General features: G+C 38.0%; 1 protein-coding gene across 3 annotated transcripts in view, besides 2 other annotated features; it reads right to left on the bottom strand.

The window, feature by feature from the left end:
• HTR2C (5-hydroxytryptamine receptor 2C) overlaps positions 8,616–22,434 on the bottom strand; it is a 325,976-nt gene continuing 312,157 nt past the window's right edge. For all 3 annotated transcript variants that reach the window (NM_001256760.3, NM_000868.4, NM_001256761.3), the window contains one exon: positions 8,616–12,088. In NM_001256760.3, coding sequence (NP_001243689.2) covers positions 11,262–12,088 — 827 coding nt within the window. In that variant the 3' untranslated portion in view covers positions 8,616–11,261. The remainder of the gene's footprint in view (positions 12,089–22,434) is intronic.
• Positions 11,115–12,314: an enhancer, noted in NCBI's record as "MED14-independent group 3 enhancer chrX:114140926-114142125 (GRCh37/hg19 assembly coordinates)". NCBI's record gives its function as "activates an origin of replication core promoter dependent on BRD2, BRD4, P300/CBP and CDK7 cofactors, and independent of MED14, by STARR-seq in HCT116 cells {active_cell/tissue: HCT116}" and the evidence as "EXISTENCE:reporter gene assay evidence [ECO:0000049][PMID:35650434]".
• Positions 11,128–11,777: an enhancer, noted in NCBI's record as "OCT4-NANOG-H3K27ac hESC enhancer chrX:114141463-114142112 (GRCh37/hg19 assembly coordinates)". NCBI's record gives its function as "activates a minimal SCP1, AML or CMV promoter by ChIP-STARR-seq in naive and primed H9 embryonic stem cells {active_cell/tissue: H9 hESC(naive and primed)}" and the evidence as "EXISTENCE:reporter gene assay evidence [ECO:0000049][PMID:30033119]".

Raw genomic sequence — 22,434 nt, 5'->3', positions numbered from 1 at the left:
AACTGGATGCATATATTAATCAGCAAAATTCTTAAATATCTTGTTGTCTAGAACTCATGTATGCATACAACTTTTTCATGGTTCTATTATAGAATAGGAAAAAATATCTGCCTTTCCGTGCCTTAAAAAGAGATGAAATGTAAAATGCAAAAATTGAATGTTCTTATTGTCCATTAATCCTGCCTCAGGAAAGGCTAAAAAAGTCAAGATCAGAAGACTTTATTCCTTCAAAGCAGTTACCAGCATATGTCTATGAAGCTTGACTTTGGGCTTGTCTTTCTCCTTATCAGTTCCTTCAATTTGGAGGACATAGGAAACTATTACAACTTCTGGGGAAATAAAGGAAAGAAACCTCACTAACAGAGATTTGAAAAGTATTGAAAGGAATATCTAATCATTAATATTCTATTAGGTAAAAAATAAAGGGAGATGTATAAAAACTCTTTGATGGCTCTGTTTCTTCGTGTTTTGAAATTTTTATCTGATTCATTTTATAAACAGTCAATGAACTAGGTGGAGCCTAACATAAAATAGGGGGCATTCCGGATTTTGGCAAGATACTCAGCTATGGGAATGCGTAATAACTAAAGTAGGACCCTTACATACAGTGGATTTTTAATGAAAACAAGTATGCCAATTAATTAGGAGGTATAGTACCATAGCCATCACACAAAGCTGAGTGGATTTTGCCTTGCACAACTACAGGATATGCCATTCACTTACACTGCCAGAGTCACACAACTTGGTGGCCCTAGGTGATGTTCCAGATAACTTAGGGCTATAACTTAGGGCTATCACAGAAAACTTAGTAAAAAGAAACCATTGAGAGTACTAGAGACTGTCCCTGTTGTGTGAATCCTTAGGGTTACAGATCCCTCCTAAATCTAGTAAAATTAAATTACATGGTACATATTTTGATATAATGTGATATATGCATCGCAGAAATGTAAAGCTCACATACTACACAATCTTTCACTAAAAATAAAAAAGGCTTATTGGAAACTAAGATAGGTACAGATGATTCAAAATTGATGCAACTTTGTAACCAGTACACTAACAAAAATAATAACAATTTTAACCAAAAGAGTAGCACATTTAAAGAGAATAAGAGGACATTGCATCCATAAAAAGGAAGCAATTTGAAATCAGAAATAATGACATTCAGATAAAAAATAAAATAAAAAATATACATTTAAAAATATACTCAATTAATAACATGTTGGATATTTCAGAATATAAAATCAGTAAATCAAAGTCTAGTTTGAGAAATTATGCCAGCACTAATAAAAAATGGGAAGTATAAATGAATATTGTGAACAAAAGGATGAGACATGAAAAAATAATACAGACCATTTGATATGGTCTGGCTCTGAATCTCCACCGAAATTGCATATTGAATTGTAATCCAAATTGTAATCCACATGTGTTGGGGGAGGGACCTCGTAGAAGGTGATTAAATCATGGAGGGAGTCCCCCCATGCTGTTCTTGTGAGAGTGAGTGAGTTCTCGTGAGATCTGATGGTTTTATAATGGGCTTTTTTCCCCTTCACTCTGCACTTCTCCTCCCTGCGGCCATGTGAAAAAGGATGTGTTTGCTTCCCTTTCCACCACGATTGTAAGTTTCCTGAGGCCTCCCCAGCCATGCTGAATTGTGAGTCAATAAACCTCTTTCCATTTCTGAAGAGGGACATCAGAATCAGGAGGTAGCCGGGTGGATTAGCTTATTCCAAAACCCCTGTAGGCTACAGTACAGCAATGGTAGTGTAAAAATGTAAAAGTATTCTGGAGAAACCAGTAGAATTGCTAAAGTCCTAGTTTTTACCTAGATAAGAGATCTAAGCTGTCCAGAAGTTCCAGTAGCAACATAGGCAGTGGTTTGCCCAGAGGTTGCCAAAATCACTGTGGTGGTATCTTCAATTCAGTATTTGTGATGGGTAATATAGAGTGTCAACTAGATTGGATTAAAGGTTGCAAAGTATGATTCCTGGGTGTGTATGTGGGGGTGTTGCCAAAGGAGATGATTGTGATGGTTAATATAGAGTATCAACTTGATTGGATTAAAGATTGCAAAGTATCGTTCCTGGGTGTGTATGTGGGGGTGTCACCAAAGGAGATGAACATTTGAGTCAGTGGACTGGGAGAGGCAGAGTTACCCTCAATCTGGGTGGGCACCATCTAATCAGCTGCCAGTATGGCTAGAATAAAGCAGTCAGGAGAAAATGGAAGAGCACTTGTTGAGTCTTCCGGCCTTCATCTTTCTCCCATGCTGGATGCTTCCTATTCTTGAACATCAGACTCCAAGTTCTTCAGTTTTTGTACTCTTGGACTTACACCAGTGGTTTGCCAGAGGCTCTCGGACCTTTGGCCACAGACTGAAGTCTGCACTGTCAGCTTCCCTACTTTTGAAGTTTTGGGACTTGGACTGATCCACCACTGGCTTTCTTGCTCTTCAGCTTACAGACAGCCTTTTGTGGGATTTCACCTTGTGATCCTGTGAGGTAATACTCCATAATAAGCTCCCCTTCACATAGGCATCAATCCTATTAGTCCTCTCCCCTCTAGAGAACCCTGACTAATACAGTACCTACTTGAATGCATTGTTCACAGAGCACCCACTCTAAGTAATGCAGACATTTATTGTAAGTGTGTAATTCAATACTTTTTAGTATATTGATAGAGTTATACTAGCATCACCACAATCCAGTTTTAGAACATTTCCATCACCCCCAAAACCTCCTCATGCCCGTTTGCTGCCAAACCTCACTCCTACTACCAGGCCCAGACATGTAGATCATGCCACAATAAAACTGTTAAAAAATAAAAAGTAACTCAAATAAAACATTATCATGTATTGCTTCCCTGTAAAATTGATTGTATTATTGTCAAAAAATAAAATATTGTAAAACTGAAAAAAGATAAAAAAGAAAAATCTCAATGCTACAGATCAAAAAGAGGAAAGGAATGAGTGTTAGCAGGCAAGTGCTTAATGATGGGGTCTGGAGATAACTGAAACTGGAGTAGGCCTACATTTTAAGGATTTACTGAGAACTGTAGAAGCTAAAATGTGTAATACCTTTTCCTCATCCATGGCCAGGTCCACGGACAATACTCCTATGACAAAAAACAGATTAACAAGTGAAAAGTACAACAGATTTTTCAATCAAAATATTACATGACATGGGAGCCTTTAGAAATGAAGACCCAAAGAACCAAGGAAAACTCTATTTTTATGCTTAAATTCAATGAAGAATGGACCATAGTGTAGAAATGTGATTGGACAAAAAGGGTATGATCTAGTGGTAACAAACTGGGAGGGACTTAGCAAGACGTATTTGTTTAGATTCTTCTTAACCTCCTTGTGTAGCATTTCTTCTTTCCTGGGTATGGGGCAGGACCCCTCTGGAATGTGGGTCTTATGGCCTACTGCTGTGGTTTGAACATGTCCCCCAAAGTTCATGTGTGAAGAATTTAATCCCCAATGCAACAGTATTGAGAAGTAGGACCTTTAACAGGAGATTAGGTCATGAGGGCTCTGCCCTCATGTATGGATGAATGCTGTTAACGTGGGACTGGGTTGGTTATCAAGGAAACAGGCTCCTGATAAATGGATGAGTTTGGCCCTCTTCCTCTCTCTCTCCCCGCCCCACCCCTCTGTCTGTCTCTCTCTCATGTGCTCTCCTGCCCTTCCATCTGTAGCCATGGGATAATGTAGCAAGAAGGCCCTTGCCAGATGCAGACCCCTCAATCTTAGATTTCTCAGCTTCCAGACTATAAGGTATAAATCTTTGTTCTTTATAAATCTCCCAGTCTCGGGTATCCTGTTATAGCAGCACAAAATGAATGAAGATACCTACTTTCAGGGGAGGTAAGTCAGAGAGTGACCTCTCTAAATTTTATGGCTTGCTTTAGGGACTAGCAGTTCTAGTTTCTATGACCTGCCTTGTGGAAGAGGAATTCTAGTTTCTATGACCTGCACTGGGGGAGAAAGGAGGGCAGAATAAGGTGAGACAGAACTTCCTGCTTCTCAGGCCCTTGCTTCTGAGCACCATAATTTGGGGTATTGTGTTCTGAGCCCCACCAGAACCCATATCCCTGACACATACAGGCCTGTACACTTCTCCTTAAAACCATACATTGATACCAAAATATTTTAGAGTCTAGGAGCAGCTTTCATGTAAGTTATTGCCTGCTCTGTAATATAATGTCCTAGTAGGTTTTGGAATTGAATCACAGTTAGAGGTAATGTTAGAATTTAGAGAAAATTGTTAGGGTTAGGGGTTGGAACCATAAAGTTAAGAGCAGAGGTAGAATTACATATAGGGACAGTTTTAAAGATAAAGTTAGGGACAGAAATAATGTTATAGATAAAGTATGAGGACATGAATACAATTAACATTGAATTGAAACTTAAAGATAGGGTTAGCTTGAGTGAACAAAATGTGCTCACTAAGTTCCCTTCTCTCTGCTAAAGATAGAGCCTCTATCAGCATTTTTTCTGGAGTAACTATAATGAGGAGAGGTTTCCCAGCAATCCAAATTGGACATGCAGTTTTATCAAGAAATTAGCATTTTTTTGTTAAGTCACTGAGTCTTTGTGATTTTTTTTAATGCAGCTTAGCCTAAGCTATGCAGATGAATTCAAAATCTAAGAATCTTAGTAAGATGCTGGATTGAGAACACATTTAGTAAGAGGATAAACCACAGAAAAAAATGTATTTCCATTCACCTCTGTGTGATTTGATTTTGGCTGAAGTGGCAGCCAACCAGGTTGTTTTATGTTATGTAGGTGGTGAATGAAGCGGCTGGCAAATAATAAGAAATACATATTTGATCTCTGCACCCAGTTTCTGACACAGAGCTCCTAAGTCCCTTGGGATTTCCTGGGTGATAGGAGTGTCTTTTGTTCTAATGAGGCAACTCTTGGTGGGCTCCTTGATTGCTTCAGGATGGAGGCTGTTAATGACCAAGCCATGATTAGAAGCTTGGGACTTTTGGCCCAACACCTATTCTTCAAGAAGTGGAGTAAAATTGGGAATTGAGTTAATAATCGATCATGCCTACATGAAGAGGCCACCATAAAAATCACTAAACTATGGGGTTTAGAGACCTTCTGGGTTGGCGAACTCATCCATTTATTGGGAGTGCAGTGCACTCTAACTCCGTGGAGACAGAAGCCCCTATACTCGGGACCATTCTCGACCCTGTCCTCTGTTCCTCTTCATCTGGCTATTCATTGGTATCCTTTCTTTTTAATAAACTGGTAAATGTAAGGAAAGTGTTTCCCTGAGTTCAGTGAGCCAGTATAGCAAATTATCAAACCTAAGGAGAGAGTTGTGGGAACCTCCAATTTGTGACCAAGTCGGACAGAAGAGTGGGTATCCTGGGCACTCAATATTTGCAACTGGCATCTGGAGTGAGGAGCAGTCTTGTGGGACTGAGCTCTTAACCCGTGGGGTCTGTGCTAACTCTGAACACTGTCAGCACTGGAGTAAATTGTAGGACACCCAACTGGTGTCTGCAGAGAAGTGGATAATTTCTTGGTGTGGAAACCCCATACATTTGGTGTCAGAAGTGGAGTGTTCTAGAAACAAGTTATAGTTGTGGTGAACCTTTTCTACTCAATTAATACATTTTTGTGGATGTTGAGATTCCCTGCCAAAGATCTTGCCTTCAGGAAAGAGGTGTTTATTCCCAGGTGCTCAGATGTTGTGAGCTGATAGCTCTCAGCTATAAGTCCTCTTTGGGAGTTGCCTTTGTTGAAGAAAGAGGCTTGGCATAAGATCACATATTTCTTTTGGGGACAGTGGAGGTGTAGAGGCCTGGCCCTCTGATAGGGTTTGGCTGTGTCCCCACCCAAAATCTCATCTTAAATTGTAATCTTAATAATCCCCATAATCCCCATGTGTCAAGGGAGAGACCAGGTGGGGTTAATTGGATCATGGAGGCAGTTTCCCCCATGCTGTTCTTATGATAGTGTGTGAATTCTCATGAGAGCTGATGGTTTTATAAGTGTTTGGTAGCTCCTACTGCTTTCATTCTTCTTTCTGCTGCCCTGTGAAGAGGTGTCTTCTGCCATGAATGTAAGTTTCCTGAGGCTTTCCCAGCCATGTGGAACTGTGAAGCAATTAAACCTCTTTTCTTTATAGATTACCCAGTCTTGGGTATTTCTTTATAGCAATATGAGAATTGGCTAATAAACACTCTCACCTCAACTTGTAATAATTCTGAAGGTTATCCTAGATTCAAAGCTCTCCATGGGGCTCTGCTAACTGTGATATCGTTTTTTGGTGTTCATTCCTCTTAATTGTCTTGCCTCTGGTATTGTAATCTTTAAGTACATGCATAATTAGTCAGGAAGAGTGGTACTTTCTGGTGTGTTTGTCTCTGTGAACCTCTTTCACAAGAATCAACTTAAGTTTCAAAGAAAAATAACATGGAGTGCTATGTTTTCCCCTCTAAAGGTGAAGGGGAAATAAGTTCTTATTGTAACTCTATCACAGCCCAACTTCTACCTCTGTCCAATCCTAATTTCTTTCTTTCTCCCATGCATAGAGGGCTCAAGATCACTTCCCAATAAACATCCTGCACACTTTTCTTCATCTGAGAATTTATATCCCAGGGGACCCAATCTATGTCTTAGAACTATTTATGTTTTGAGAATGCTATAGGTCACATAATATTTGAGAACCACTCTGATGCCACCTATTCCTGTTGATATACAAAAATATCTCTTTCTAATATAATCAGTTCTCTAGATCGGGGTCCTCAAACCCCTGGCTGAGGATGGATACTGGTCTGCGGCCTGTTAGGAACTGGGCCACACAGCAGGAGGTGAGTGGTGGGCCAGTGATCATTACTGCCTGAGCTCCTACACCTGCCAGATCAGCAGCATTAGATTCTCATAGGAGTGCAAACTCTATTGTGAACTACATATGTGTGAGATCTATGTTGCACATTCCTTATGAGAATCTCACTGATGCCTGATGATCTGAGGTGGAACAGTTTTATCCCAAAACCATCTCCCACCCTCACTTCACCATCTGTGGAAACATTGTCCTCCAAGAAACTGGTCCCTAATGCCAAAAAGGTTGGGGACTGCTGATCCAGGTGACGGATGGGTTTACATATATCTAGGGGAGAATACACAAGGAAAAATGGGCCTCAACCTTGGAAATTGCATTGGCCTAAGTGGGAGCTGGGAAACCACATGGATAAAAGAAACCTATTGCTACTTGATGGCAAGAAGCATTTTTCTTTCTCTCCTCAGACCATGAAGACCTTCTAGAGCTACAGACTGAGGCACTTCAGTGTTCTTCTGCCCTCCTCCCTTCCACTGGTAGTAGTGACTCCTAGACTGGGCCATCAAGAAATTTCAGCCTCTCTCCATTGCCTCAGTGATGGGCTCGAGTAGCCCCTAGCTTTAGCAGAATAAGATATTTCTGGCCATGGGCAGCAGTAAACCTATTGTTTCAAGTGGCATTTCAACCTTTATGTCTTGACCTACTCATAGGAACCGACCTACTCAGAGTTGCAGAGAAATGAGGTATTACTGCTTTTTTTTTCCTCAGGGAACTGACGTCATGCCAGTATTTTCTACACTCACCCAGCATCAGAAGAGCATATATGTTGAAAGAAAAGGTCAACGTATTCTGTCATCCCTGGTTCCAGGTATGGAAGAAGAGAGTTGTTTTAGTATCATGTCTCTGATGATTTTGGAGGTATCCAAAGCCAGTTGATATAAGAGATAAATTAAGGTGATCATGCCACATCTCATGACTGAAGAGCTGGGAGTTGTAAGACCTAGTTTGGCAACTGGAACAGATAACACAATTCCTTCAAATTTTTTTCTTTTCTTTTTTTGAGAGTGTCTCGCTCTGTCTCCCAGGCTGCAGTGCAGTGGCATGATCATGGCTCACTGTAGCATCTATCTCCTGGGCTCAAGCAATCGCCTCAGCCTCCCAAGTAGCTGGGACTACAGGCATGCACCACAGTGCCTGGCTAATTATTTTTTTATTTTTATTGGGGATGAGGCCTTGCTGTGTTGCCCAGACTGGTCTCAAACTCCTGAACTCAAGTGATTCTCCTACTTCAGCCTCCCAAAGTGCTGGGATTACAGGCATGAGCCACCAGCCCTGGTACTTGCAAATATTAATACTCAATGAATACATGTTGAATGTAGAGAGGCTGCTAAGTGTTGGAGACAAACCATCTACAGGACAAACATGGTCCTTTCTGTCCTTGAGGAACTTAGATTCCAGTGGGAATAAGGCAGTACTGACACCTATAACAAGGAGAGCATGTGAACCACCCTCGTCCTTGCTCAAGTAAGGAAGGCAGAACAATTTGGGAGTGTGGTTATTTTGCTCATGAGGAATTGGTGATGCTGTTGTTGATATTGTTTTTCTCAGTCACACCTCTTGTTTTTCCTCTGATGCCATAGTCTTTGAGTACATGCATCATTACTAAAAAGAAAGTGATCTTTTCTGGTTGCATTTGTCTTTGTCAACTTATTTTATAGGATACAATTTCATTTTCTATGAAAATGAAGTCAAGTGTCAAGTGGTATATGTTTCCCTCAAAAGATTCTGGGGAAAAAAGACATGTGACATATTAGCCAACATTTAATAAATTTAATAAATTAATAGGAAGTCTCATAAAACCTGTAGTGGATAACATACAGGAATTAGGAATAAGACAACACTTTGCAACCATTCACAAAAAATACCATTTGACAAAGGAGAAGAATTACAGAAAATAATATAAGGCAGTCTGTTGCACGTGTCTTACACAGATATACATATATAATAATACATCAAAATGATTTGTTTGATGGTAAATTCATCACCTTTACAATTATCACATGGACTTCTTTAAAACATTTATAAAAGTTTGTAGATTTAACATTGAAGGGTAAGATTTATATCCAAATGAGTATATTTGTTTCATACCAAACTGCACAGAACTTACGAATAGCACACAACTTGAGGATAATTACCAGGTTGGGTACTATTAAGTACTACTACTTGATGACACAAGAATCATTAACAAATGTGCTGTGAGCTATTATCATTCAACTTATTGCTAGTACTTTTGGAAATCTGTGATTTATATTTTGTTTCTTTGTAAAACATGTGCTATGAGCTTGCCCTGATAGTTCAGAAATCAGATGTTTCCAGTTTTTTCTAACACTCACACTACTTCAGATCTGAATGCATGGTCTTTTTAAGGATTGCTGAAGGATTTTCTTCAGTCCTTCTTCTATCAGCTATTCTGCCCTACATTAATACAAATCGATGGATTCATGCAACATACATGGCATACATGCAGGACACCATCTGTATGTGCAGAACTCATGCTAAATGCATGCTGTGTTTCTTCAGCCATTTTCATTTCGGTAAGAATTAAATCATCTCATTCTGCTTCATATAATTATTTTAACATGCACTTCAACAGACCTAACAGGCAAGGCAGGTAGACTTGACTTTCATGTTATATTTGGGCATGCTCAAGCAATTGACTGATGTTTGGCAGTGTTGCAAATCAAATAGAGACTGTATGAGTTTCCTCAAATACAGCAGCTCTTCCACTGCCCTTGTGGCAGACTATTGGATTTATCTATACTGTGTGTTGAGAACACAGACCAAGGGTTTTAGAAATTCAGATTTTTCATTAACCAATTTTAAGATACTGAGAGGCACATTCTCAGGTGTGTAAGTAACTGTCAAGCGTAAGAACTAGCATCATGAATTCTTCCAAAATTTATCCACAGTTGTGTGAAATGGGCACGTATGGAAATACTGTTACTAGAAACACTTGTATACTCTGCACACAGCATAGACTGAATGGCCTGACTTTAGCAATGCTTGAAAACTTTTCATGGTTTAGAAACTATTAAAATGCTACTGAATTCTTAGAGAGCAGCAGGCCCACGAATGAAATGATGGCCAACACTTATTGTAACACAACACTATATTTTAACAAAGATTTAAACTTCTGGTAAATAACTGCAGTGCAATGAAGAGCTTGCCACTTTCACAAATTAGCTGCAGCCTTTTCCTGCACTAGAGAGTTTGGAAGGATCTGAAAATGACATAAATTTTGTTTAAAATCCAAATGGAAACTCCGTGTTTCTGTAATCCCGAGTTCGGTAAAAGTGTCTTTTTAATTACTTTTTTTTTTCACATTCTAAGGGCCCAATTCTGTAGTCCTTAATCAAGTAAAACTTCCAAAGTTTCTACCATCTATACTTCCAATACAAGTTTTACTCAAAAATGGACTGCTAAATTAAGTCCTATAGACAGAGGTACCATAATTAAGAAAATATTTTAATAAGGCTCAAAATACTAATTTCACTTTGTGTGAAGCACACAAATTTCCAGGATGCTGAGATCAAAACCCAATTGATGTTGAATCCTGGGTTGGGAAATAACTCTGGGATCTCATTTCCCAGTTTAATCATAGAATTAGGAATTTACTAAGGACCAGAATGAAAACACTAATTTCAGTTTGCTTGTTGTAATAATCAGAATTTGAACACTGTCCTTAAGAAGTGAAAAGCTATTTGGTGTATTACATCTCATTATCCTTCCACTTCTGTAGTCCCGGTTAACCAGCTGCTATGTTAAAATACCACTATGTTTAGGGACAGACATTGCAGTAAATACCAACACAACATTCTGACAATGTCAAATTTTTGCCCCTATATGAACAACAAGACTAGGTTCTGCCTCTGACTCACTGACAGATGTATCAGAAAGCAGAACCTATCTTACTGTGTTTATATGTGTAGATGAGCAGAGCAAGAATGTAAAGTGTATATTTACTGTTAACCCAGAACAAATGTCCACTGAATTTGTTAATTTAGGTGTGGTTGAAATATAACCACTGTCATGTGCCTCATTCTGGTCACCTGCAAATGCCACCTGAGATGAACATGAACGTTGCCATATGCACAAAAGAAAGAGAGAAAGGAAGGAAGAAAGGAAAAAAGGAAGGAAAGAAGGGAGGGAGAGCAAAAATAAACATTTTATTCATCAAACAATCAAAATAAGTTAGTCTCCACCTATTATAAACAGTAAATATAGAACCCTAAATCTCACTAATGTAGGCATGATTGTAAAGTACAAGGTTGCAAAGCTATATGTAAAAACACTTTTTCAGACAGCAATATTTACATTAGTTAAGACCAACAGAAAAATTAAAGAAGAAAATTTTCCTACATATGTAGCTTGTACCGTAGGAAAAGACTGTGCTGTTCTTTCTCACACACTGCTAATCCTTTCGCTAACCACACTGGAGGGATTTACTGGTAACTCTAAATTCTCAACTTGCATCTCTATACCGGGCTCATTGTCACTGGCTTTCTCGATCACCGGTTCATTGGTATGCCGATAAATGTTAACATTAAGCTCCCTCCCAGACAAAGCAGTGGCGGCAACTCTTGGAATCTGCCTGACAGGAGGCTTTTTCTCTACCTTATAATTGCAACGCAAATAGTTGGAGAATGCCCTTCGGTAAATTTTGTTGAACAGAGTATACACCAGAGGATTGATTCCTGAACAAACATAGCCAATCCAAACAAACACATTCAGAAGCTTTTCCATGAGCTTTTGGTTACAGGACTTCTCACAAAGAACAGACAGAATATTGGTAATGAAAAATGGGCACCACATGATCAGAAACACAAAGAAAACAATCCCAAGGACTTTCGAAGCTTTTCTTTCATTGTTGATAGCCTGCATGGTGCCCCTAGGACGTCTCTCCTTCTTCTTTCTTCGGCGTGCGTTCTGGTCTTGGTTAGGGTTTGCAGAGTTCTCTTCCTCGGCCGTATTCCTCTTGCAGCACTTCAGGAAATCCAGACTTAGTCCAGGCGGTTCCTCGGTGTGGCCGTGCAGTAACATCAAAGCTTGTCGGCGCAGAACGTAGATGGTCAGGCAATACGTAATCACCATAATCGTCAGCGGTATGAAGAAAGCTACGAAGGACCCAATAAGAACGAAATTTGGGTCGTTGAGCACGCACGTCGTGTTGTTCACGAACACCTTTTCTTCGTCCCTCAGTCCAATCACAGGGATAGGAACTGATACACCTAAAGGAAGAAAAAGGAAGGGGGTTGTTATAGCATCTTGAAGGACTGAACAGATGTATTCAACGGCATACATTAATTTGCATTTTACGGAAGGAAATTCAGACCTGATATTTGTTGAAAGCTATTCACGGCATAATCGATAGTCACATGAAACACTAGCAGTATGGCATCAGAAAATGATGGCGTTTTTCATGTTAGGAATGCCTTCTCCCTAAATTCTGTAGAAGGCATGGAATTACCCTTATTGATATTAACTATATTAGAGACACGGTTGTGTCAAAGGGTGGATTGTGTCAGATTTGTTGGATTTCCAGTTCCAAGAATCGTCCTGGCTCAGAGAAGGCACTCGATAAATATTTGTTGAATCAATGAATAAATTCACATCTGTACTTGATGACATTAATAAAGCCAATCATTCTTTCTTTAGCATATCATTTTCCAAATTCAATAAAAATGAGACAAATACCACCTGTAATAGTAATAATAGCCTATTAGGGATGGCTGGGCTGAGTCTAACTACTATGCAGAAATAGTCAATAAGCAGAGACTGAAAAGATTCTCTTTTTAGCAAGGGTTTTTGTTTGTTTGTTTTATTTTGAGTCTCTGGGCATGAGCAATGTTTCAAAGTCAAGAGAGGGTAAAATGTAGAGTTGGGAGATATGCAGTCCTCCAGTTTCTGTGTGGAATTTTGAGCATTTTTGTTTTAAGAATACTGAGAGGTAGTACTCTAGGGAAGCACTTCCTTCAATAAATAGGCCCATAGTTAGGAAATATCAATGAGGAGGTGGGAGCAGAAGGTGATCTTGTGCCTGAGCATAAGTAAGATATCTGGAAGCTTTCAGAAATAACCACAGTAGGTCTTCAAGAGGTCCTGCATCAATACATAGAGATAAATAGATAACAGATAGAGATTGCTGTCCTGTCTTGTGTCCACAGGAAGTCGAAGCCTGGGAAGTTCAGATTGTATTTGTGGGGTTCCATTAGAGATTATTAGGAATCCTGGGCTGGTAGGTGTCTACATCATGAACTGTGAGAGGAGACAGAAATGCATTCTCAGAGATCCTTGCTGACCTTAGAGAACACACAAGCAACTGTGACAAACCTGAAACAGAAAGTCCTTACTAGTTGCTTTAACATGCCTAGTCAGGTATAGAGTGTCTGGCTGGATGATCAAGAGGGAAAAAAAACAATGAGTCAATGCTTCTTTGCTAGAGCTTGCTGAGAATGTTGACGGATGTTTAATCTCTGGGAAGATAGAAAGAAGAGAGTGTTTTGAAAGTGATCTTTAAGTCTTCTTCCTCAGACATGGAATTTCTAAAATGACTGGCCTTTTCCTAGAGTAGGAAGCCAAGTAACAGGGTGAGGAAGCCACAACAGATATGACAAGACTTCCCTGGGTATTGGTCCATGCCTACCTATAGCTCTGAACCTAGGCACACCATTCAAGAAAGTAGGAAAGACTGAAAATGAGGAGGCACTGCAAACAGTAAGTCACCTCAAGTAGTGCATGGCCAGATCCTAAAGCAGAGACCTTTGCACCTAGATGGGGTGGAATGACAATTATTAGAAGGAGAAAAGAGAAAGTGATTTTTCACCAAGTTTGATGAAATGCCTGGGAAATTTCAACAGGAATTTGGGAATATAGAGTACAGCAGAACCACACAGAATATATTTCTTAAGAGTTAAAAAAAAAAAAAAGCAGTTAAGAAAGCTGCCAGACTGTGTTGTTTAAATCTTTATGTGAAAAATCATAAACGTAAGGTAATCTCTAGACAGCACAGATCAAACATGCCCTAAAGACATCAGTGTTGGCTTAACCTTAATAACATATTTTAGTGACGGATTAGTCTGCAGAAAGTTAATATAAGATTTTTAAAAGAAGAAAGAGTTTCTTTAAAAAAATTTACAAGAGAAAATGTTAGAGGGGGAACTTATATATTAAGAGATACTTAAAAGATCTATCAAGTAATTATAATATGTGGATCTTCTTGGGATCTTGATGAAAACAAAAACATGTTAAAAATTTTCATGACACAATTAAAAATCTGAACAATGACTGGCCTTTGGATGATATTAAATAATTATTGTTCATTAATTTTTAGGTGAGGTATTGATATTGTGGTTATATAAAAAGACAGCTCTTTTATTTTTTGATATACATACTAAAACACTTACAGATGAAGTATTATGATGTTTGGAGTTATTTCAAAATAATACGGGAGGGAGAAGTGGATGAAAGTATGGATGAAACAAGACAGTCCACAGGCTGATAAATCTTGGAGCTGGATGATGAGTTCATGGGCTTTATTTTATAATTCTACCTTTGTAATCTTTGAAAGTCAACTATGAAACAGAAAGTTTAATAATTTTTTTCAATTTAAAAAAAGAGAAAAGAAGACATAGAGGTCCTTTCTGAAACAGAGTAACATCACTGTTAAGCCTCAGATTTTAAAAAGTCTCCAAAACTGATTGGCCACTGCTAATCTTGGAAGTGATTCCTTCCAGAGCAAAAAAACATTTGGATCCCTAAATAGAAACATTCAACCACCTGTTTGATAAAACTGTAGGGAAGAAGGCCATTTTCTGACAATGTGTTGATAGGAAACTCTGTTATACCTTTCCAGGTTCCTTACAGCAAAAGCAATAAAGGATGCAGGAGTGGTGTTTCCCTCTTCAATCTCCTACCTTGCCAACCACCCAGCACCTTAGATACTACAGCGTGGGGCTAGAGACTCAATCTGGGGAATTTGCTTTCACCCTGGAGGCATCATGACTGAGGCATGTACCTTCAATTTCCCACAGGAAATGCTGCATATATTCTAAGTATTCATAGACACACTTGGACGTTTCTGGGGAAGGCCTCACACACAGGCCATGAGATTGGTGGAAGTTTGTATCACTTAGAGACCAACTCCAGAGTAATGTTAGCTCGCTTCTGTTAAATGATTTATTCACTTGTCTAAGGGATTCTTGAGCCTAAAGTAGGCCTTGTCAAGGGACAGCAAGAGAGGGTAGCAAAGTCACTGTAGATAAGCTGAAGCTGTTATTGGGTAGATGAGGCCAATTTTATCCCTGGCATCTATTTGTATTATTTTTTGTGCATTGAGGAAAGGGTGATTCTAATAGCTGCCATTTATTGAGTGTATCCTATGTGCCAGGCACTGAGCCATGTATATTACTGACATTACAGATGTAGAATGTATTATCTCAATTTGGTTAAAAACTTTATAAGACAGGTATTATTTGGCAAAGTAGCTTAACCAGTTTACCAAATCTGCACTGTCATTAATTTTCTTTTGTTTTTAGAAACCATGAATGCAATCAACAAAACAAGAAGAAATTCAAGTTATTTCAAACATATGAGGAAATTATAAAAAGCAACAACAAAAGCAGCATTAATAACAATATATGTTGTACACTGTCTTATTCAATACTTTAAAAAAAAATAAAAGGTAAGTGTCAGCAGTTCTCAAAGTGTGATTCAAGGACCCTAGGGGGGTGTCTGAGACTGTTAGAAAGCTTGCTAGGTTTTCCTTTCCTAACTGTCTTTAAAACTGCATTTTCTTCATAAATTTCAACCAAAACAACATATCACAACTGTTTGAATGTGGATACATATATGAGAATCTAGCTTTCTTTCTGTCAAACAAGATATTAAAAGAGATTTTCAAAACTGTGGGCCGGGTGCAGTGGCTCACGCCTGTAATCACAGTACTTTGGAAGGCCGAGGTGGGCAGGTCACCTGAAGTCAGGAGTTCAAGACCAGCCTGGCCAACATGGTGCAACCCAGTCTCTACTAAAAATACAAAAATTAGCCAGGGATGATGGCACATGCTTGTAATCCCAGGTACTCGGGAGGCTGAGGAAGGAGAATCGCTTGAACCCAGGAGGCAGAGGTTGCAGTGAGCCGAGATCCCGCCACTGCACTCCAGCCTGGGTGACAGAACAAAATTCCATCTAAAATAAATAAATAAATAAATAAATACAATAAATTTTCAAAACTGTAAAACAATGCCTGTTTTCTCTCTGATTTGTTTTGGAGATTATAGTTTTCAAAAATATGTTTTTATGTTAACCTTAGATGGGTTTATTATTATTATTGAAAATAAAATTATTCCTAAATATTTTAAATATTTCTCAGTTTTAATTTCTAATACCATAAATATCAATAAATATAAGCCGCATAAGCAAAAACTCTTTTGGAGTCCTCGATTATTTTGAAGAGTATAAAGGGGTCCTGACACCAAAGAGCTTGAGAACTGCTGTTCTATGTTAATGCATTAAGTTATTTAAGTGCTAGAGAGTTAAGTTCAGCAAATGTGTTAAGTTTGTCTTAGCATTTTTATTTCAACCAATAGTAATTCATGCGATATTATCATGTCTGGTAAATATAAATAACAGCAATACTGGCAACAAAACACTTTAAATTCATCATTCATTTTTATAAAAATTCCGCAAGGCACATGTTATTTGATGAAGTTAACTTCAGAAAAATTAAGTAAGTTTAGCAAATATCATGAGGCAATCTTCAATATTTTTGAAATTCCTGATTTGGCCAAAGAGGAAAACTAGATATGAACTACCATTGAAAATATCAGGTGTCACTAACAATAATTCCAATAATAATAACTACCTTTTACTGAGGGCTTATTTGTCATGCACTAAGCCACATATTTCACAATTGTTATATACTTTTATATATATTTTATTCAATCCAGACAAAAAAAAATAAATTATTAGGTGGAATCACTTAACCTTTCTGAGATTAACTTCAATAACTCTGTATCATCTTCCTTAGAATTTTAGAACCAACAAAGGTAAGTTATAATTCATGTTGTGCTGCAAACCTTAGGTACTTCTTCAACTAATAAACTGTCAAATATATTTCACATGCATTATCTAATTCAGTTGTTGCAAATCTCTGAAAAGTGGTTATTATTTATTAAGGTTACTTAAACTCTGAGAGGAAGAGTGCCTTCAGTAAACATATAAGAGTCTTACTTAGCATTTTAGAATATTAAATTCATTAACATTGTTAAGTTAAAGCTTTACTGAAAATATCATATGTTACTTCTACCACTATTTTATTCAAAATATAACGTTACCACTATTATAACTACTACTGCTATTATAACTACTACTGCTGTTACAACTACTACTACTATCATTCATTAAGTGTTTATTATGAGTGCTTACTGACTCTGATACTTTGTCTGCATTACATACTTTACATGCATTATCTCATTTCAGCCTCTTAAAAGCCCATTAGTTGATGAAGTTATTTTACTGCAAAAGAGGTAAGTTCAGAGGATGTATAAATATGTTTACATTATTTCTTAAAACCTTGAATTCAAGCAACACAGATCAGTTCTCTCCAAACCATAAGGTCATATGCCAATGATTCTAAGAGGCACATTTCTTTCAGATTTTAACATCTTTGAAATTGTGATGCTTCATACAACCCATAGTGTCTTACAATCATTGTTGGCCAGAAACTAGTCATTAGATAGTTGTCATTGTCAGTACATGTGTGAAACTGGTCTGAATAACTTCTTTTGACATCTTCTGGAAAGATCAAAACTACCAGCAGCAAAATTTGCAAAATGAGTGTCAGCTACATGACAACAATTCAGTGTAAGTGAAAAGTTATGTCATTACGAACAAAGGGAAGGAGTGTTCTGAAGAAGACATCCGCAACAGTTTCAAATGCCACAGAGAGATCTAGAATTTGAAACATTTTCTCTATCTTTGAAAATGAAGAGGTCATTGGTGATTATAGAGAGAACAATTATAGTGAAGACAGGAAACAGACTGCCAAGAGATGAATAATAAATAGTGATACAAAAGAGATTAGAGAATACGTTTCCTAGAACAGCTTGATAAACATCAAAATGAAAACATAGGGAAATTATTGTTAACCTGCAGGGTTATCTGTTTCCATGGGTTATTTTGCATGGAGAGGAAATTTTTTTTCAAGGATACCTAGAAAACCATACTATTTCAGGCTGACAGGAGTTCTTGAAGTCTGGTGATGCTGCAGTCATTGTCATTCATATGGCTCCTGGCAAACCCATGTGTGTTGACAGTATCTCAGACTATCCTCCTCTGAGTCATTTTGCTCTTTATGATATGAGATAGACATCATATCTTGATTATGTGTCATCAAAGCAAGGGACAAGAAGGCTGTTGGAGCTGGCAAGGTCACCAAGTTTGACCAGAAATCTCAGAAGTTTTAGATGAATATTATCCCTAATACCTGCCACCCCAGTTTTAATCAGTGGTGGAAGAATGGTCTCAGAACTGTTTGTTTCAATTAGCCTTTTAAGTTTAATAGTAAAACTGATTAATGATGACAATGCATTGTAAAACCTTCAGAAGAAAAAGAGAATGTTTTCTGGATCCCCTTTTTTTTGCATGTGGCAGTTTTAAGTTTTTAGTTTTTAAAATCAACACTTTTTAATGGAAACGCCCTGACCAAAAATCTGTTACAGAATTTTGAAACCCATTAAAATAAAGCTTAATGCAAGAAAAAGAAAGAAATATCCAAGGGTGTCATATCAGATACCATGGAGGACAGAAGATAAAATCATCTTTAAAAAGAATAAAGTAAAAACTACAGCAACAAACGCACATCTGTCAACCCAGAATTTTATGTTCAGTGATCATATACTTCATAAATGAAGGTAAAATTAAGACTTTTTCATGTCAACTAAAGCTGAGAGAATTTGTTGCCAACAGAACTTCATTAAAAGAATGCTAAGGGGACCAAGATGGTTGATTAGAAGCAGCTACAGTCCACGGCACTCACAGAGAGGAACAAAAGGCGTGAGTGAATACAGTATCTTCAACTGAAATATCCAGGTACTCACTTTGGGACTGATCAGGGAAACAACTCAACCGATGGAGAACAAAGAAAAGCCAGGCGGGGCAACGGCCCACCTGGGAGCAACACAGAGCCAAGGGAACCCTCACGTCCAGTCAAGGGAAGCGGTGAGTGCTTGTGCGACCGTGGGAAACCATGCTCCTCCCACGGATCTTTGCAACCCACAGATCAGGAGATCCCCTTGTGAACCTATGCCACCAGGGCCTTGGGTCCAACACAGAGCTGTGTGGAGTCACAGCAAAGCAGCTGCTCAGGCACACACAGAGACCCAGGAGCTTTACATACTCTGACCCCAGGATCCCCAACAAAGGTGTCTGCAACTCAGGCAAGGCGGGAGGTCCGTACATACCACTAGGAAGGGGGCTGAATCCGGGAAGTCAAGCAGCATTGTCCTGCGGGCCCCACTTCCATGGCATCTCACAAGATAAGACCCACTGGTTTGGAATTCCAGCCAGCCACCAGCAACAGGGTGGAGCCTGCCTGAGATAGCGCATTCCTATACAGAAACAACAGGCAAGCTGAGAGCCAAAGAATGAATGAACTCCCATTCACAAGTGCCACAAAAGGAATAAAATACTTAGGAATATAGCTAATAAGGGAAGTGAAGGACCTCTTTAAGGAGAACTACAAACCACTGCTCAAAGTAATCAGAGATGACATAAACAAATGGAAAAACATTCCATGCTCATGGATAGAAAGAATCGATGCAATTAAAATGCTCATAACTGCCCAAAGTTATAGATTCTATGCTATTCCCATTAAACTATCATTGAAATTCTTCAAAGAATTAGAAGAAACTTTAAAAATTCATATGAAACCAAAAAAGAGCCCAAATAGCCAAGGCAATCCTAAGCAAAAAGAACAAAGCTGGAGGCATCACGTTACTCAACTTCAAACTATACTATTCGGCCACAGTAACCAAAACAGCATGGTACTGGTACAAAAACAGACACATAGACCAATGGAACAGAATAGAGATCTCAGAAATAAGACTGCACACCTACAACTATCTGATATTTGACAAACTTGACAAATACAAGCAATGGGGAAAGGATTTCCTATTTAATAAATTGTGCTTGGAGAACTGGCTAGCCATATGCAGAAAACTGAAACTGGACCCCTTTCTTATACCATATACAATAATCAACTCAAGATGGATTAAAGACTTAAATGTAAAACCCCAAACTAAAAATCTCAGAAGAAAACCTAGGCAATACCATTCTGAATATAGACATGGGCAAAGATTTTAAGATGAGGACACCAAAAGCAGTTGGAACAAAAGCAAAAATTGACAAATGGGTTCTAGTTAAACTAAAGAGCTTCTGCAGAGCAAAATAAACTGTCATAAGAATGAGCAGACAACCTATAAAATGGGAGAAAATCTTTGCAACCTGACAAAGGTCTAATATCCAGAGTGTACAAGGAACTTAAACAAATTTACAAGAAAAAAACAACTCCATTAAAAAGTGGGCAAAGGACATGAACAGACACTTCTTCAAAGAAGCTACTCATGTGGCCAAGAAATACATGAAAACAAGCTCAACATCGCTGATTATTAGAGAAATGCAAATCAAAACCACAATGAGATATCATCTCATGTCAGCCAGAATGGCGACTATTAAAAAGTCCAGAAACAACAGAGGGTGGTGAGGTTGTGGAGAAAAAGCAACACTTTTACACTGTTGGTGGCAGTGTAAATTAGTTTAACCACTGTGGAAGACAGTGTGGTGATTCCTTAAAGACCCAGAGGCAGAAATACCACTCAACACAGCAATCCCATTACTGGGTATATACCCAAAGGAATGTAAATTATTCTGTTATAAAGATACATGCATGTATATGTTCATTGCAGCACTATTCACAATAGCAAAGACTTGGAACCAACCCAAATGCCCATCAATGATAGATTGGATAAAGAAAATGTGGTACATATAAACCACGGAATACTATGCAGCCATAAAAAGGAATGAGATTACGTCCTTTGCAGGAATATGAATGGAGCTGGAAGCCATTATCTTCAGCAAACTAACACAGGAACAGAAAAGCAAATACCTTGTCTTCTCACTTAGAAGTGGCAGCTGAATCATGAGAACACATGGACACATAGCGAGGAACAATACACACTGGGGCCTGCCAGCCGGTGAGGACGGAGGGCATTAGGAAGAATAGCTAATGGATGCTGAGCTTAATACCTAAGTGATGGGATGATCTGTGTAGCAAACCACCATGGGACACATTTACCTATGTAAGAAACCTGCACATCCTGCACGTGTATCCCTGAACTTAAAATAAAATTTGGAAAAAAAAAAAGATTGCTAAAGGAAGTTCTTCAGGCTGTTGAAAATGATACCAGGTGGAAACTCACAACTACTGGAGGAAAGAGGAGCACCCAAAATGGTAAACATGTAAGTAAACAGACTACTTTTTATTTTTTCCTAATTTCTTAAAAGGTAAGTGAGGTTTTGAGGCACAAATGAGTTGATTTTAAAGTTGTGTCTATGACATATGTAGCAAGAGCATACATGACAATATTAACAAAAAGAACAGGCTTGAAAAATCAAATTATACATTTTAAGTTTCTTACATGTCTAAAGTCTAAAGTGGAAAATTAGTACATTATTAAAATTAAGGATGCTTATGAGATAAGATATCCGATGGCAATCCTTAAATCCACCTAGGTCAAATAAAAATACTTAAAAATATATAGATAAAAAGTCAATAAAGGAACTAAAATGCAATGCTAAAGGTATTTGGTAAGCAGAAGAGAAGGCAGGAAAAGAGAAACAGGAGAACAAAAATTAAATGAAGCAAAAAGAAAATGAATAGTAAGATATCAGACTTAAACCTAGTCATATTGATGATTACATAAAATGTAATTGATCCAAATCGTTTAGTTACGAGGCAGAGATTTTCAGATTAAGATAAAAGAGAAAGATGATCAGTTGTCTTAAAAGAGACAAACTTTAAATATGAAGACATATGTAAGTACAAAGTTAGAAATTATGGAAAATTATATATTGTATGAGTAGTTATTACAAGAAAGGTAGCATGGCTATATTATTGTCAGACAAAGTGTATTTCAAGACAAGCAATATTAGCAGAGATGAAAGTGGGTATTCACAATAATAAAAGGACAAATTCAAAAGGCATACAAATCCTAAATGTGTTTCCCCCAGTGACACAGCTTCAAAATATTTAAAGCAAAATCTACAGAACTAAGGAAGAAATGAATACATCCACAATCATCATTGGCATTTTTAACATTCCTTTCTCAGTAACTGTTTGAAAAAGAAAGTAATGATATATAAAATATAAACACTGTCAATTAGATGTGATTGACATTTACAGAACACTACACTGAATGCTTCTGAATATACCTTCTTTAAAATGTTCACATGGAATGCTTATCAAGATAAGTCATATGTTGAAGCATAAAATATCTCTCAATAATTTCTAAAGACTG

The sequence above is a fragment of the Homo sapiens genome, chromosome X (assembly GCF_000001405.40).
Source record: "Homo sapiens chromosome X, GRCh38.p14 Primary Assembly".
NCBI classification, from domain to species: domain Eukaryota; kingdom Metazoa; phylum Chordata; class Mammalia; order Primates; family Hominidae; genus Homo; species Homo sapiens.
This window is presented reverse-complemented; position numbering and strand designations above follow the sequence as displayed.